We start from the raw sequence: 15,960 nt of genomic DNA, 5'->3' as shown, positions 1-15,960 counted from the left end.
CTATGAGAATCTGATGTGTGGGGTGGGCTGTAGTGTGAAAATGCTCACTGGAGACCCTGATAGTCCCCCTGGGGCCATGTACCCACCATCCTCTCTCACTATTGGGATGAATAGAATGTGTAGAAGACCTGCTTTCTGCCCACTTTCCATAATGTCAAACTGTTCTTTTTGACTTTGTAATATTTATTTTAAAAAGCATATTAAATAGCTCCCTAAAGAAAATGAAAATACTGACTACTAATATAAAAGTCAGTTTATTGTAAAAATAAGGCTTATTTAAAAAATTAAGGCATAGGCTGGGTGTGGTAGCTTATGCCTGTAATCCAAGGCAGGTGGATTACCTGAAGTCAGAAGTTTGAGACCAGCCTGGCCAACATGGTGAAACCCTGTCTCTACTAAAAATACAAAATTAGCCAGGTATGGTGGCACACGCTTGTAGTCCCAGGTACTTGGGAGGCTGAGACAGGAGAATCACTTGAACCTGGGAGGTGGAGGCCAAGATCGCACCACTGCACTCCAGCCTGGGCAAGATAGAGCAAGACTCCGTCTCAAAAAAATAATCATAATAAAATAAATAAAAATAAACAATTAAGGCATAAATGAATGAATGCTAAATTTTAGAATATTATCTTTCTTCCTCCAAAGGAAAAGTTCCTATATTTTTCTTTTTCCAGAGATGGTCTTGCTATTGTGCTGCTAGAAAGAAGCGTGTGCAAGTGTCTTTTTCATATAATGATTTCTTTTCCTCTGGGTAGATACCCAGTAGTGGGATTTTTGGATCAAATGGTAGATCTACTTTGAGTTTTTTAAGGAATCTTCACACTGTTTTCCATAGTGGTTGTACTAGTTTACGTTTTCACCAGCAGTGTAAAAGTGTTTCCTTTTCACCACATCCATGCCAACATGGAGGCTGGTCTCAAACTCCTGGGCTCAAACGATCCTCCCACCTCAGGTGTCCAAGTAGCTAGGAGACAAGGTCTTGCTCTGTCTACAGAGCCTACACCACCCCGTTGAAAAGGTCCTATTAACCATAGAACATGAGATGGTTTTCACTTAATTGGTCACATGTTAACTATAATAGAAATTTAAGATTAGCAGAAGAGTGAAAACTTGTTTTGATAGCTGGATTGTGAGCCTGTGCATTGTGTATAGTTAAATCCTGATGCTCCATACAATGGAACACCATATTGGCAACAAGAAGACTTAGTATATTACCATGTGAAAAGATATCTAAGATATAGTAGGTGAAAAAAAAGCTAGTTGCAAAGCAGCATACATAGTATGATTTTATATATCTTTGTGTACTTGTATTGCTTTTAATAAAAAATTATTTACTATTAGAAATAGTTTTTAGTATTAAAAATGTTTAAACATAAATGAATATCTGTTAGTGACTTATAAGTCAATCTCCATGACTTTTATATAAGGACTTTTATATAAATTTACAATGAGCATGTGTTCATTTTATAATGAATGAAATAAAGACCTTTATTTTGAAAAAAATGATCAGCAGAGTTGGAGTTGTTATAATATTAATGTACATACTCATGTGATTTTCTTTCATATTTGTGTTCCTGCTTTAGGTTGCTTCAGAGAACTTTGTGCTCTGTGTTGGATGCTGCATGTCCGTGATAAGTTATCCTATAGTTGCAGGCAATATCAGAAAGCAAGAGAAAATGTAAAAGGAGAAAAGGTATTTACCAGGGCAAAAATAAGAAAAATGAACACACGTTAAGTGGGAAATTATTGTTTAAAAGAAGATTTTATTGTTTGTAGCAAAACTTTCTTTTGAACTCATTCTGGTCTACCATCTAAACTAAAAAGGAAATGAATGTTTTTCAATATCCTTTTAGGACCTTGAAGTGGAGTTTGATTCTTGTATGATTGAGCACTGTCTTAGTGCAGTGGAATGGGCTTATAGAATGCTGCCTTTCTCTCGGTTTTTTAATATGGAAGAACTTATTCAGGATATAATTTTGAGCCTTATTGGAGAACTGCCACCAATCAGAAAGGTAATGTGCTTGTAGGTGAAAGTAAACTACATCAGAATCAGAGACTTTAAAAGATTTTTATTTAATTTTAATTAAGGATGATGTTGCCTTTCTTTGGATTATTTCACTTAGCATAATATCTTGTGGGTTCAAAAAGGTAAATACTGTAGGACCTCACTTGTGTGTGGAATATAAAAATGTTAAACTCACGGAAGCAGAGAGTGGAATGGTGGTTGTCAGAGGCTGGGGATGTGGTGGAAATGGGGAGATCTTGGTCAAAGGGTACAACCTTTCAGTTACAAGATGAATAAGTTCTAGGGATCCAATGTACAATATAGTGACTATAGTTTTTTTTTTTTTTTTTTTTTTTTTTTGAGACGGAGTCTCGCTCTGTCACCCAGGCTAGAGTGCAGTGGCGCGATCTCGGCTCACTGCAAGCTCCGCCTCCCGGGTTCACGCCATTCTCCTGCCTCAGCCTTCCGAGCAGCTGGGACCACAGGCTCCCGCCAACACGCCCGGCTAATTTTTTGTATTTTTTTAGTAGACACGGGGTTTTACCACGTTAGCCAGGATGGTCTTGATCTCCTGACCTCGTGATCTGCCCGCCTCGGCCTCCCAAAGTGCTGGGATTACAGGCGTGAGCCACCGCGCCGGGCTATAGTGACTACAGTTAATCGTAGTGTATTGTTTACCTGAAATTTGATAAGGGAGGATATTACAATGGTAAATGTGTGTATTGATGGATGTGCTAATTAATTCGACTATGGAAATCAGCACAGAATGTATACGTATATTAAATCATCACATTGTACACCTTGAATATACACAGTTTTTGTCAATTACATATTTTAAAATAAAAAAGTAAGTTGATACTAAACTCCTATTAGCAGACAGATGCTCAGAGAGAGGCTTTGACCTGACTTCAAAAGATTAGTAAGAAATGTGCATTTATATTTTGAGTTAAAATAAAATATTTGTGGAATGGAAGAAAAAAAAAGAATGATGTTTCTCATAAAACTTAAACAATTTTTTTTCTGAAGGTAGCAGAAATTTTCGTGAAAGCATTTCCCTATCCTGAGGACGTGAGGGTTCCTTTAAGAGACAAATATCACTCTCTTCACCAGAGACTCAGACACTGTGTTGTGAAAGGTATTATTTGTTGTTTCTCAGATAGCTAACAGATAAATTGCAGAAGATTCCCTTTTTGTTTTGAAAATATTTATTTACTGTTGCTTATGTGTCTATGCATTTTTGCCTCTTCCTTGAGATAGGAGTATGAGAAGGTAGAAACATTTCTCCATTGCAGAAAGACTAATCTCTTGCTTTGGAACCAGATGAAGCTGACTTCGGCTCATGGCTCTGTCAGTCAGTAACTGTGCGATCTTAGGCAAGTTGCTCAGTCTCTCTGAGCCTCATATCTTTATTTGTAAAGTGGGCATAGTATTACCTGCTTTATGATGTGTATTCAGAGAGGATTAAGTAAGATAATATAAAATGAGCATATGGTACTTTGTATATTGCAAGTATTTGTTGAAAACAAGTAATTTCCCTTTATGGTTATTTATGCTTCTAATTTTGTTCTTCAAAATTAGAATACACACATTTCTTACTGTGGTAAAATGCATATAATATAAAATTTACCATTTTAGCCATTTAAAATATGCAATTCATTGACATTAAGTACATTTACAATGTTGCAGAATTTTTAAAGAATTAAAATTACCCTGCTTTTTAAAACTATAATTCAGTATTTAAGTCCAGGTATGTCCAGTGATTTTGTATTATTCTATTAATATATTGTATTTGTGATTTGTATTTTTCTTAATACTTTTTTTTGACATCCTCTAAAATATTCTGTTTATGTATTAAATAATGTTTTAAAATGTTTCTATAGGCAGCCTTGAAAACCTTCCCTTGCTATTGTTTCTTATTACTTTTAGTAAGAAAAATGTCCTTGATTTTTTTGGCTAGAATTATCCTCATTTTATCTTATTCTCTATGTGATAATAGAAAAAACATTCATTATTCTTTTTATTAAATATAATTATCCTTCTGAGTTTTAAAACAGTTAAATCACTTAAAGTTTTTTTTTTCCAGGGCATACTTTTTCTTCATGAGGTCTAGGTTCTGTCTCTTTTACTGTGTTCTTTAATGGACCTTCTTTAGCTTCTGCAGTTCTACTTTAAAATATCTTTCCAGTAAATACTGAAGAAAACACGACCAGTAAGAATGTGGAAATAAGCCTTAGTCATCAGTTAGGTTTCTTGTCCCCAGGAGGGACCAGAGTTGGGTCTCCTATGTCTTGAATTGAAATATTTTAATGAACACTAAGACTTTTTATTCTTTTCTTTCCAGGACCCCAGACTGAGGAAATGATGTCTGTTGTCATGCATTCTATCCAGAAAGTGAGGGTGAAAGCTCTAAAACGTGTGCAGAGAAATATAGGCTCTTTTGAAGTGAATATATGGGAACCAATTGAAGAAGAGAAACCAGATGAGGCTCCAGGTGTTGACAGATATTCCCTGGGGACTAGTTTGAGCAGAAGTACACTCACAGAACTAGGAGATTCTGTGGTTCACAGTGATGCAGATACGTTCTCTGAAGCTTTGTCGGTTGAAGAAAAAAGTAGGATAAATATCTATCAAAGGTACAATTGAGATCTTTTAATCACTGGCATTCACTTCCTTTGAAAAGTAGCTTTCAGGCATCTGATGAGCTGATTTCTGGTCCCAGCAACCCTCACTGATTGTGCTATTAATAATATGAATGATAAGTGCCACCCCCTCCACTCATAAGAATATTAGGAGTATAAAATGAGACTATACATTCGAAAATTTACTTTAAGTATTATTGATATATGAAATAATTTTGCCATCTGAAATTATAAAATCAAAGGAGTAGATGAAATTCTACACTTCACTGGAGGACTTTCAGTTTTTTTTAGTAATCTTTAGACTTAAATAGTTTGAGGTTACTGAGTTAGCCATATTATTTTTAAGGAAATTTTTCCTTAAATTTCCTTAATATTTTTAAGGGAAATATTTCAGGGAAGGAAATTGCCTCAATCAGAAGGGATGGGATGCTTTCAGCCCAGGTGGCCAACACCTGTTCTCTTACTGAGGGAACTAAGGATCTGTGTTCTGCCCTAGGAATCATGTTGAGAAGAAACATTTAAAAGGAATTGTTGTTGGGCAGTTAAGGTGTCCGCCCAACAGGTTTCATAACAGCTAAAAGTGTTTAGAAAAAGTTCCCAGTTTTTGTGTGGTAAAACAAAAAAGGTCAGTCTTGCTTATTACACATGGTATTAGGGGAGCTGAGCGGGCAGATGCAAGAGAGAAACAAGAAATCCTAAATTTTGTTGTATATCAGTGGCTTGGAGTTTTTGTTGACTTTGTATTCCTAAAATCTGACCCATTAGAGGACTATTTCTTTTACCCACAGAAAAATTATTCATGTTCTTTTATAGTGAAATTTCTGTGGACACATTTTAATCTCTTCTAATACAAATTTTCCCTTTTGATAGTAATTTTTTTTTGATCTCATAGTAGAAATGTTCCACTCTTGAAAACACTTAGAAATCATTTAGTCCCACTCCCTCATTTGAAATGTAGGTAATTGAGGCACACAAAATATACATGACTTAATCATTGGAGAGAATTTTCCATGTCAATTCTAAGATCAGTTTTAGTGATTAAATGATCTCTAATTTTGTCTTATTTTATTTTTTTGCTATAGAAATGCCCCAAATCACATGGAATTAACATCAATTCATAAGCCAACTGATAAAAGGAAAATGTGTAATCAGAAAGAAAATCCTACAAAGAAAGAAGATCATGAAAAGTTATCACAAAATACACTTCCTGTAATAGGTGTTTGGGAATTTGAACGTGATGATGATGAATATATTAAATTCCTTGATCTGTTTTTGAGTTACATTCTTGAAAGAGACCTACCTTATTCCAGGGATGCTGACATTCCATTTCTAACTAGTTTTTCTGGAAAGCTTAGAGAACATGAACTTAATTCTTTACTTTTTGATGTACATACAACATTAAAACGACATCAGAGCAAAACTAAAAGCCAGAATGTGTTTAGAGCTGGTTCTTGCTTTGTTGTTGCTCCTGAGTCCTATGAATCAGAAAAATCATCCTCTTTAAATGATGAATATGGCATGCATTTAGAAAACCAGAAACTTTCATCATCAGTACTGGTTAATCAAGGGATCAAACCTTTTTTACAATATCCTTCGAATGAAGTCAATAAGAATGAAGGAATGAGTGGATTATTTGGTTTAAAACAAAGGTCAATTTACAAAATACAAGATGACACTAGAGAGAAATGTCTAATCCAGAGATCATCAAACCACATTTTTTGGACTCCCAAGTCCATTAAAACTAGAAGATGTATTTTCAAAGCTATTCAGTGCAATGATATTAACCCTCAAGAAGATCTTCCTTTAGCACTAAACACTTTTGGCAGTATAGGAAGACTGCTGGAATGGATGATAAGGTGGTCTAATAGAAGGCTACTCTGTGATTCTGGTATAACTGAGTCATCCTCTGAGTACAGTCCAGTAATTCGTGTAAAGACCTCTACAGCTGCCATTCTTACATCATTATGGCTTTTGGAACAACCCTATTTTGCTACATATAAGGCAAAAAATGCCATTATTAAGGTAAGCATATCAATTGTTTATTACTTACAAATGAGAATTCTCATTTTAGATTAAAACTATGTTTACATTTCCCATCTTTTAAAGAATCATTAAATAATAGAAAATTAATGACAATGTTGATTATAATCAGTATCTCCTATTTTTTTCTTCCAGTGGTTCCTTTAATTCTTAACAATAAAGTGCTTTCAGAGAGGCTGTGAGGTTTTGAAGTTTTATGTGTATTTATAAAAAAGAAAAAAAGGAAGGAGATAATTTTAAGTGATATTACAAGTGGTATTACACGTATATTATTTCTCCTTTCAGTTTCAGGTTTTGGTTCAGATGAAGGAGGACTAGGTGGCTCTGTAGTTTTAATTACTGATGTCTCATCAAGTCCGTTAGGGGATAGTTTTTCTTATACTCTCAGGCCAGAAGAGGTTGGAGAACCAAACACAGAAAGGCAGATGGGGGAGTCAGTAGAGGAGTTAGTGTTTAATTAACTATTCTTTCTTCCCTAGTCAATGGCAAGTGCTTTTATTCTGAAGTAGTTTATTCTAGGCTGAAGGATGTGAGTGTGTGTGTGTATGTGTGTGTGTGTATGTGAATATGTGAATTTGTTTTATTTTTTACTTATTCATTTTTTGAGACAGAGTCTTGCTTTTTGTTTTGTTTTGTTTTTTGTTTTTTTTGAGATGGAGTCTCACTCTGTCACCCAGGCTGGAGTGCAGTGGCGTGATCTCAACTCACTGCAACCTCCGCCTCCTGGATTCAAGCGATTCTCCTGCCTCAGCCTTGTGAGTAGCTGGGACTACAGGCACGCGCCACCACGCCTGACTAATTTTTGTAGTTTTTAGTAGAGATGGGGTTTCATCATATTGGCTAGGGTGGTCTCAAACTCCTGACCTTGTGATCCGCCCGCCTCGGCCTCCCAAAGTGCTGGGATTACAGGTGTGAGCCACTGCGCCTGGTCCAGAGTCTTGCTTTATCACCCAGGCTGGAGTGCAGTCTTAGGATCACAGCTGTCTGTAGCCTTGACCTCCTGGGCTCAAGTGATCCTTCCACTTGAATCTTCCAAGCAGCTGGGACCACAGGCTCATGCCACTATGCCTGACTAATTTTTAAATTTTTTATAAAGACAGGGTTTCCCTTTGTTACCCAAGCTGGTCTCAAACTCCTGAGCTCAAGTGACCTTCCCACCTTGGCCTCTCAAAATGTTGGGATTACAGGTGGGAGCCACCACACTAGTCCTTTTTTTCCCTTGAGATTGGTTTCTGTTATCATAAGGTATACAGTTTATATGATACTGTGATATTAGTCATCCTTGAAATGTGTATTTCTAGGTAATGTATATGGAAATTTTAAGTGAGACAAAAAGGATGTACCTTGTGTTTTTAGCTGCATGTATTTTTGTCTACTATGTCATTTTGAAATAACTACTGAATGTCTTTATGATATAGCAAAGGGAATGAAATGAGGATATTATAATTTTTTTGCCATTGTTTTGTGGCCTGAAAACAATGACAATATGCCTTACAAATTTGTAAGGCTGATTTCTTTTGAATACTATTTAGGTAGTCAGATTTGCTTTTTCCAGTTAGAATAAAGACTTGATCATTGCTTCAGCAACAAATATTGAGTTGTAGAAATGCAGTAAATATTTGATAAATGAATAAGAGGATTATTCAGAATTCCTGTAGAAAGAATGAATAATTTTAAAATATGGTGAAAAATAAAGGGTTCAATAAATACTAAATACTTTAAATGGTTTGCTTTAGATGGTAGAGAATCGTGACACTGGGTGTCAGATTGGACCCAATATTGAGAGGGAGAGCAAATCAGATGCTGGCGGTTCAGTTGCAGTAGCAACTCCAGGTGGAACTGAGGAAAGAAATGGTCAGAATAAATCTTGTCAAAATATCTTGAAGTAAGTTGCCGATTATACTCTTCTTTTCAATATAAGACATGTAGTTTGATGGCATTTGGGCTTAAAGGGAAGATCAAACCCTTGAAAGTTAAAGGAATGAGCATTTTTTGAAGTAGAGGAGCAGGCAGTGAGCTTTCTGAGGTGCTTTAACAATTCATTGCAAATTGTATTTCTTCCCTCTTGGTCTAGCTTATATCTTCTGAGAGAGCAATTAATTCATCCTGAGGGATTCCTTTATCAATTTATTTCCCATATCAGAAGTTGAACTAATCCTTTCATCCATTTTTATATATGAAGCAATGCTAGGAGTAACATAGCTTTGAATACCAAGGCAAAACCCATTATAGCATGAAGAGTCCTTTGTGAGAATGATAATTTTAGTTGAAATTATTCCAATCATTCGAGTAAATAAAAACTATGATGTTTAGTTATTTACTGAACAATCTTTACCTGAGCTTCTGTGTATCAGAATTTTTTAAAGAAAGATTTTATAAATATGAAACCAAAGTTTGTTCTTTGCTTTTAAAAAACTGAATTAAGCCGAGATTGCGCCATTGCACTCCAGCCTGGGCGAGACTCCATCTTAAAAAAAAAAACAAAAAAAAAACCCAAAACTGAATTAGCTCTTTATCTCCAAGAATAGTTGTAATTTTAGTTGCTGCATTTTTTTCAGTAGAATGCCAACTGAAGCAAAAAATCCTGATATAAAAGAAATCAATGATGATATTATTTCCATCACTCATAATACTAAAAAAGAATTTATAGATATTGATGAGAATCTTTTAGAAGTAGAAGCATTTACAGAAGAGGAAATGGATATGCACATATCAGACTATGAAGGTCAGTTCATTTAGATAATCTATTTTTTTGGCTTTATTAATTTGAAATTGGTAAATAATATTATCTGAGGTAACTTATTTAGTCTTATACCTAAGTTAGTATGTTTACAGTAGCCTAAAATAAAAAATTAAGAGAATTAAATATTTATGAAATATTGAGCATATTAACTCTAATTTTGGTTTTAATAAAACCAAGAAGATCTAAGGTATTTTTATGTTGGTGCTCTTTTACCATTATTGGGCGTCTTGTGCTGCTTATATAATAATTATGGTCTGTTAATTTCTGTGAAGCAACTCTATAAACCTCTCCCCAGCAGTCTTCCTTAAGACAGAAACTCTCAGAGCACTACGTGGAGTTAAACATACTGAATAATAAGGCCTCTCAAGGCTCATCTGGGATTTACCTGATGAAGATGGAATAGACTCCAGGTGTTTTCAAAGACTGTCTTTATAAAAAGGATAGAAAATATTTCTGTCATTATATTGTTTCTGGTAATATTCCCTGAGCCCCCTAAAAAGTCAATAGCTTATTTTTTAAATGATCAGTTTTCTCTTCATCTTCACTTATCGCTAGAAGACATTGAAGAATCTGTTGGAGGTTTCAGAAGTCCCAGTCTTGCCATTTGCATGATGACTTTACCACAGCAGTTAGAAGAAGTAAGTCAATAAATAGTGGATATAATTATTCTTCTTTCATTTTGTATAGTGTTTAAATTATACATGTTTTTATTCATTGTTATTAAATATATCAAAGCAGGGCTAGCTCTTAAAAATGCACCATGGGTTGTAGAATATAGCCATGCTGTGTGGCATTTTTCTTTCCCTGAAATTCTAGTACAGTGTAGTAACCTGTCCAATAATTTCAGGCAATGAAGTTTTCACATCATAAACTGCTTTAGCAAATTTATTTAATCAAGAGTAGCAAATGTGTCCTTTATTTAAAAAGTATGGAAGTATGGCCAAGCATGGCAACTGATGCCTGTAATCCCAGCACTTTGGGAGGCTGAGGCGGGAGGATTGCTTGAGGCCAGGAGTTTTAGACCAGCCTGGTCAAGAGAACAAGACTCCATCTCTACAAAAAATTAAAAAATAGCCAGGCATGGTGGCATGCGCCTGTAGTAGTCTCAGCTACTTAGAAGGCTGAGGTGAGAGGATCATTTGACTCCAGGAGTTTGAGGCTGTAGTGAGCTGTAATGTGCTACTACATTCCAGCCTGGGCAACAGAGTGAGACCCTGTCTTTTAAAAAAAAAAATTAAAAAGTATAATTCAGCTGTAGTATACTTTTTATACATATATATACTTTTTGATATTATTTTTCTCAAAACTCTATACACTGAATTTCCAGGGGGAACATAGACATTTCCAATTATTGTAACAATTCTGTGTTTTTGTTTTTTTTTTTCGAGATGAGGGTCTTGCTCTTTTGCCCAAGCTGGAGTGCAGTGGCACGATCATGGCTCACTGCAGCCTGGAATTCCTGGAATAAAGTCATCCTCTTGCCTCAGCCTCCCAAGTAGCTGGGTCTTACTATAGGTGCACACCACTATGCCCAGCTAATTTAAAAAAAAAAAAACATTTTTTTGTAGAGACTGGGCCTTGCTATGTTGCTTAGGCTGGTCTTGAACTCCTAGCCTCAACCTCTCAAAGTGCTGAAATTACAGGTGTGAGCCACCGTGCCCTATCTGTTGTAACAATTCTTTTTTATTTTTATTTTTATTTTTATTTTTGAGACAGTCTTGCTCTGTTGCCCAGGCTGGAGTGCAGTGGTGTGATCTTGGCTAACTGCAGCTTCCACCTCCCAGGTTCAAGCAATTCTGCCTCAGCCTCCCAAGTAGCTGGGACTACAGGTATGCGCCACCATGCCTGACTAATTTTTTGTATTTTTTTATAGAGACAGAGTTTCACCATGTTGGCCAGGCTGATCTTGAGCTCCTGACCTCAAGTAGATCTGCCTGCCTTGTAACAATTCTTTCAAAAAAGATTCATTTTTCCTGGTTTTATAGTTGTTTTTACAGGGAAATGAATAATCATATAGTGTTAGGTGTATATAATTTACAGTGTGTTAGTCTACTGACACAATCTTGTCTTTGTAACTTAGCATGCTCAATAGCCCAGTGTGACAGAGTGGAGGCAATTCACACAGTATAAAGATTAGGTCAGAGCAGGACTGGGAGTACATTTTACTGTTTGATTTCTCACTTGCTTGTAGACTGTTGTTACTCTGGTTAAGTGGCTAATATGAGACTCAAAATACTCAAGACAGTAATACCTATTTGTTTTACCTGTTTTCTTTTTGGGTACTATTCATTTTAACAGGAGTTCACAGAAGAGGTTCAGTGTCAAAGGGAAGAACCACTGGAGACAATTATGGAGGAAAAATCGACTGAACAAAAAGGGTAAGGGGGAAAAAAGTATGACAGTGATTGTCACTGGTTACCTCAGTGAAGCTTTCAGCTTTTTTCCTTCATAATTTACAATACATGATTTAGGGTGGTATTGTGTTTCTAGTGAAACTGTAACTTCAGTTTATAGTTATGGTAAAATGATTTTTGGTAAATGTTATACTTCTATGTATTGATAGAGTGAAATAAATAATGATATCTAAAATGCCTTTTGTTCTCTCATCACTATCAGCCTTATCAAAATAAAGCTGTAAATAGGCCAAAGCTTATTTAGCTGCTAAGTAGGGAACCACTTTTCATACTTATTCCATTTTTATTGAATCAAATAAAGAATGATTATAAATTATTTTATGTATGTATAAAATCTTTCACTGTTGTGATGATTACTATACACTATTCATTAGGGCTATGATGTACACATACACTGCCGGCTAGCTTATTGCTTCAAGGAGAGCTGAAGGCAGTTTTCATGTGTTGCAGTTTGGACATGATTTCTAAATCTTTAGAATTTTAGAAGTTCTAAATTTTAGAATTCCCTTAGATCAGAAAGGCAACATGGCCAGGCGTGGTGGCTTATGCCTGTAATCCCAGCACTCTAGGAGGCCGAGGCGGGTGGATCATGAGGTCAAGAGATCAAGACCATCCTGGCTAACACGGTGAAACCCTGTCTCTACTAAAAATACAAAAAATTAACTGGGTGTGGTGGCGGGCGCTTGTAGTTACAGCTACTCGGGAGGCTGAGGCAGGAGAATGGCATGACCCGGGGAGGCGGAGCTTGCAGTGAGCCGAGATCAGGCCACTGCACTCCAGCCTGGGCAACAGAGCAAGACTCCATCTCAAAAAAAAAAAAAAGGCAACATAATTAGATTTTCTTTTTCTGTTCAGTATGCAAATTTTGTTAGTTTTTCTGTGGACAGTTAAAAAGAATGCATTTAATACTATGGGCCTTTACAAGTAATTTAGATACTTCTATTCATAAAAATGATTCCTTCGGAAAATTACCCAAGAAGAGAGAGAGAGAAGACAAACACTAATCTTTACAGTTTCTTTTTTCTTTTCTTTCTTTTCTTTTTTTGGAAACAGGGTCTTGCTGTGTTGCCCAGGTGTGCACCACCATGCCTAGCTAATTTTTTTGTATTTTTTTTAGAGATGGGATTCGCCATGTCACCCAGGCTGGTCTCGAACTCCTGAGCTCAGGTGATCTGCCTGCCTTGGCCTCCCACAGTGCTGGGATTACAGTCGTGAGCCATCGTGCCCAGCCTCTTTACAGTTTCAAATGTGACAATGGGCTCTAGGGTTCTGAGCATAGTGTCTCCCTCTTCTATAGGTGAAATTTGGGTCTTAACTAACCTCATGTCCCCTCATTTTGGGTTCTGTTGTTTTCATTGCTGAGCAGTCAGCCGTATTTAAGTGGTGTTTTAAGTCATCCAGACATATTTTTTTGCTTTTGCTTAGATCTGTTACTAATTGCTATGGAGACAAATGTAAACAGATTGTAATTATGAGCTAAACATTATAGAAGATTAGAGGATGTTTAGACTCTTAGATGGCTGAGCATAGATCACTCATACCTTAGATAATGCAAAGAATATCTTGCTTACTAATCACCTGTTAATTTTTATTGATAGTATGATCGAAGCCTTTTCACATCCTGGGCATACCACTCCTCAATCAATGCAAGTAGATACGAGTTCAGAAATTTCTAGGTAAGAAGTTTTGCCTACTATACCATTTAAAAATAGTTGTGTTTTACAAATCACAGAGTGAAAGTATGCCGACTGTACCATTTTTGAAACAATTGCTACATTTTGACTAAAAACTAAGAAAAATGAAAGCAACATAAAACATTGAAAGAGCAGCATAAGCACACAGATCTGACATCTTTCATTACTGAGTTTCCACTAGCGATTGTATTTTAAAGTTACACAGGAACTATGTTGAACAGTCTTTTCTGAAAAAAAGTAGTGATATATTATTGAAAGATGAAGTTGTTGCTCATTTTCAGCTTCTAACTGATTTCTTGTAGTGTTTGAAATGCTTTTAATTCTCTCACAGAACAGACTCATCCGGTTCTTTTGAACAGAGTGCTTAGTGTTTAGAAATCTTGCCGAAATAGGAAAATATAGCACAGCTTTACCTCAGAAAAAAATTTTCATAGTTAGAATCGATCTCCTTGAGACCTGTTGAAAGCAAAGCCCAATAAACTTGTTTTAAAATGGGCAGATCTGTTTGTGCAAGGAGACCTTCTTCACAAAATGTTGTTGCGTCTGCATGAGTCCTCATACCCAGATCCGGCCCTTTTGCTACACTCAGTTTAAAGAGCTTCTGAGACTGGCCTGGGCTGTGCACATCCAGCTGTACCTACAGCTCAGTTTACCCCTATACCTGCCCCTACTGTCCCAAGGCCTTCCTGAGTGCCAGTGACTTGTGCAAGCATGAATGCACCCACCCTGTGCCCAAGGGGACCTCTACAGCCCTGGAGCCCCTTGTGGCTTTACTAGGAATGCCTGAAGAGGGGTCAGCCTGAAACCCATTCCCCCTTCCATCACACTTCAGGAACCCAGTCGCCAGAGGGTGCCTCCTAAACCTTCTTTGGCTCCGCTTACTCTTTAGATTCCAGATCCCTGTCACTGGGCAACTAACTCCCTTGTCACCCAGCTAAGAAAGCTGGGGACAGTGGAGGCTGGCAGCAGCTGTGAGAAACATGATTCTCAAGGAGCAACACTCAAAGCTTTCACTTTGGCAGAAAAGGAAAAGATAGATCAGTTGTAATGCCTATTTTTTGTGAATTTGCCAAATAAAGTTTTTTTATTGGGTGTGTTAAGATGCTCGATAAAAGGCAAATATTATTGCCAAATGGGAATGAGTGTAAACCTAAATAAGTCTATATGAAATTTAATATGTTCTTTTCTTTTTTGGAAACAGTGATCTGTTTGAATCTGATAACTGCCTGCTCCCTTGCTTAGTTTATAAAATGTAGAAAACTTTGAGTATCTGCTATGTTTGAGGAGTCATCCCCCAACAGTCATTTTGTTTTTTTAAAAAAAAAACCTAAACACCTTGCTTTGATCCTTAATTTTTATTTGTAAATAAGCATTTTTTATTAGGGTTTATGGTACATTTAAACTCTGAGGTTTGCTTGGAAATGAAATGTTCACAGTACTATTGTTTCACATTTAATGATGATAAACAGTAGTTTTCTCTACTGATCCTAGAATTAAGTTTTTTAAACCCAGTTTTTCCGTAGTTTTCTTAACTCTATGCTGGATCATTAATTTTAGTCAAAAACATATTTCTAAGCCAAATTACAAATTGTGAAGTCTGTACAGCTAATCAGAATGATTCCACAGGTCTCAAATTCAGATGTCCACAGGGACCAGGCAAGTAAAATATATGTCAGCTCTTGGGTTTGCAACACCCTATGAAGGAGCCCATCACTGACTAGACAATCCCTTAATAAAGATGAAAATTGAGCTGATGACGAATGTGTCTGGGGGGCTGACGGGCACTAGAGAGAAAGGCTTTAGGGTTTAAATTTCTAGAAAACTACTAGAATAACCTTTAAATTGGAAGACAAAAGTGGGATCAAAATATTCTGATCATAGACATTCAATTTGTTTTTTGTCAATTTTAATGCATGTTTTTTATTTAAATGCTTTCCACGCAGTGCACAGATTTCTACATATAAAGAAAAATCTTCCTCAGTTCCACTTCTGATATCAAATGGAGTCAATGTTGCTTCACAACCACCTGCTCCAACACCTCAGAAGACCCAGAGAAATGAATTCACGGCTCAGTTACCAGATTGTTCGGAGTCCGTTAGGCAGATGCTGCAAGATGAAATGTTTAAATTAGTTCAGGTAAGCACATCTCTATATAAGTAAGTAAATCTACACATAGTGTACATGTAGGGTTTTAAAATATTAATAGATTTCCAGAAATTGACAAGGTAAAATTATATCACAAGCATTTCTCTGCTTTGGGTACTTTTCATTCAAATGTTTATAACTGGTTGGGCGCAGTGGCTCACGTTTGTAATCCCAGCACTTTGGGAGGTCAAGGTAGGAGGATTGCTTGAGGCCAGGAGTTTGAAACCAGCTTGGGCAACATAGTGAGACTCTGCTAGGAAACTCTACTAGGAAAAAAAAA

General features: G+C 36.4%; 1 protein-coding gene across 50 annotated transcripts in view, besides 1 other annotated feature; it reads left to right on the top strand.

Annotated features, from left to right (window-relative positions):
- Nucleotides 1-15,960, top strand: part of CPLANE1 (ciliogenesis and planar polarity effector complex subunit 1) — a 173,708-nt gene that overhangs the window by 59,951 nt on the left and 97,797 nt on the right. For 26 of the 50 annotated variants that reach the window (XM_047417573.1, XM_047417568.1, XM_047417571.1 and 23 more), the window contains 11 exons: nucleotides 1,584-1,693; nucleotides 1,854-2,012; nucleotides 3,032-3,140; nucleotides 4,347-4,638; nucleotides 5,727-6,666; nucleotides 8,421-8,569; nucleotides 9,243-9,409; nucleotides 9,983-10,065; nucleotides 11,726-11,805; nucleotides 13,440-13,517; nucleotides 15,479-15,671. In XM_047417573.1, coding sequence (XP_047273529.1) covers nucleotides 1,584-1,693; nucleotides 1,854-2,012; nucleotides 3,032-3,140; nucleotides 4,347-4,638; nucleotides 5,727-6,666; nucleotides 8,421-8,569; nucleotides 9,243-9,409; nucleotides 9,983-10,065; nucleotides 11,726-11,805; nucleotides 13,440-13,517; nucleotides 15,479-15,671 — 2,360 coding nt within the window. The remainder of the gene's footprint in view (nucleotides 1-1,583; nucleotides 1,694-1,853; nucleotides 2,013-3,031; nucleotides 3,141-4,346; nucleotides 4,639-5,726; nucleotides 6,667-8,420; nucleotides 8,570-9,242; nucleotides 9,410-9,982; nucleotides 10,066-11,725; nucleotides 11,806-13,439; nucleotides 13,518-15,478; nucleotides 15,672-15,960) is intronic. The other 24 variants (XM_047417572.1, XM_047417559.1, XM_047417563.1 and 21 more) reach the window with 3 other exon arrangements.
- Nucleotides 4,433-4,633: a silencer, noted in NCBI's record as "peak5227 fragment used in MPRA reporter construct". NCBI's record gives its function as "represses an SCP1 promoter by STARR-seq MPRAs in K562 erythroleukemia cells {active_cell/tissue: K562}" and the evidence as "EXISTENCE:reporter gene assay evidence [ECO:0000049][PMID:32103011]".

The sequence above is a fragment of the Homo sapiens genome, chromosome 5 (assembly GCF_000001405.40).
Source record: "Homo sapiens chromosome 5, GRCh38.p14 Primary Assembly".
In the NCBI taxonomy this organism is placed as follows: Eukaryota; Metazoa; Chordata; class Mammalia; order Primates; family Hominidae; genus Homo; species Homo sapiens.
The sequence above is the reverse complement of the archived record's forward strand: the minus strand, read 5'-3'. Positions and strand labels throughout refer to the sequence as shown.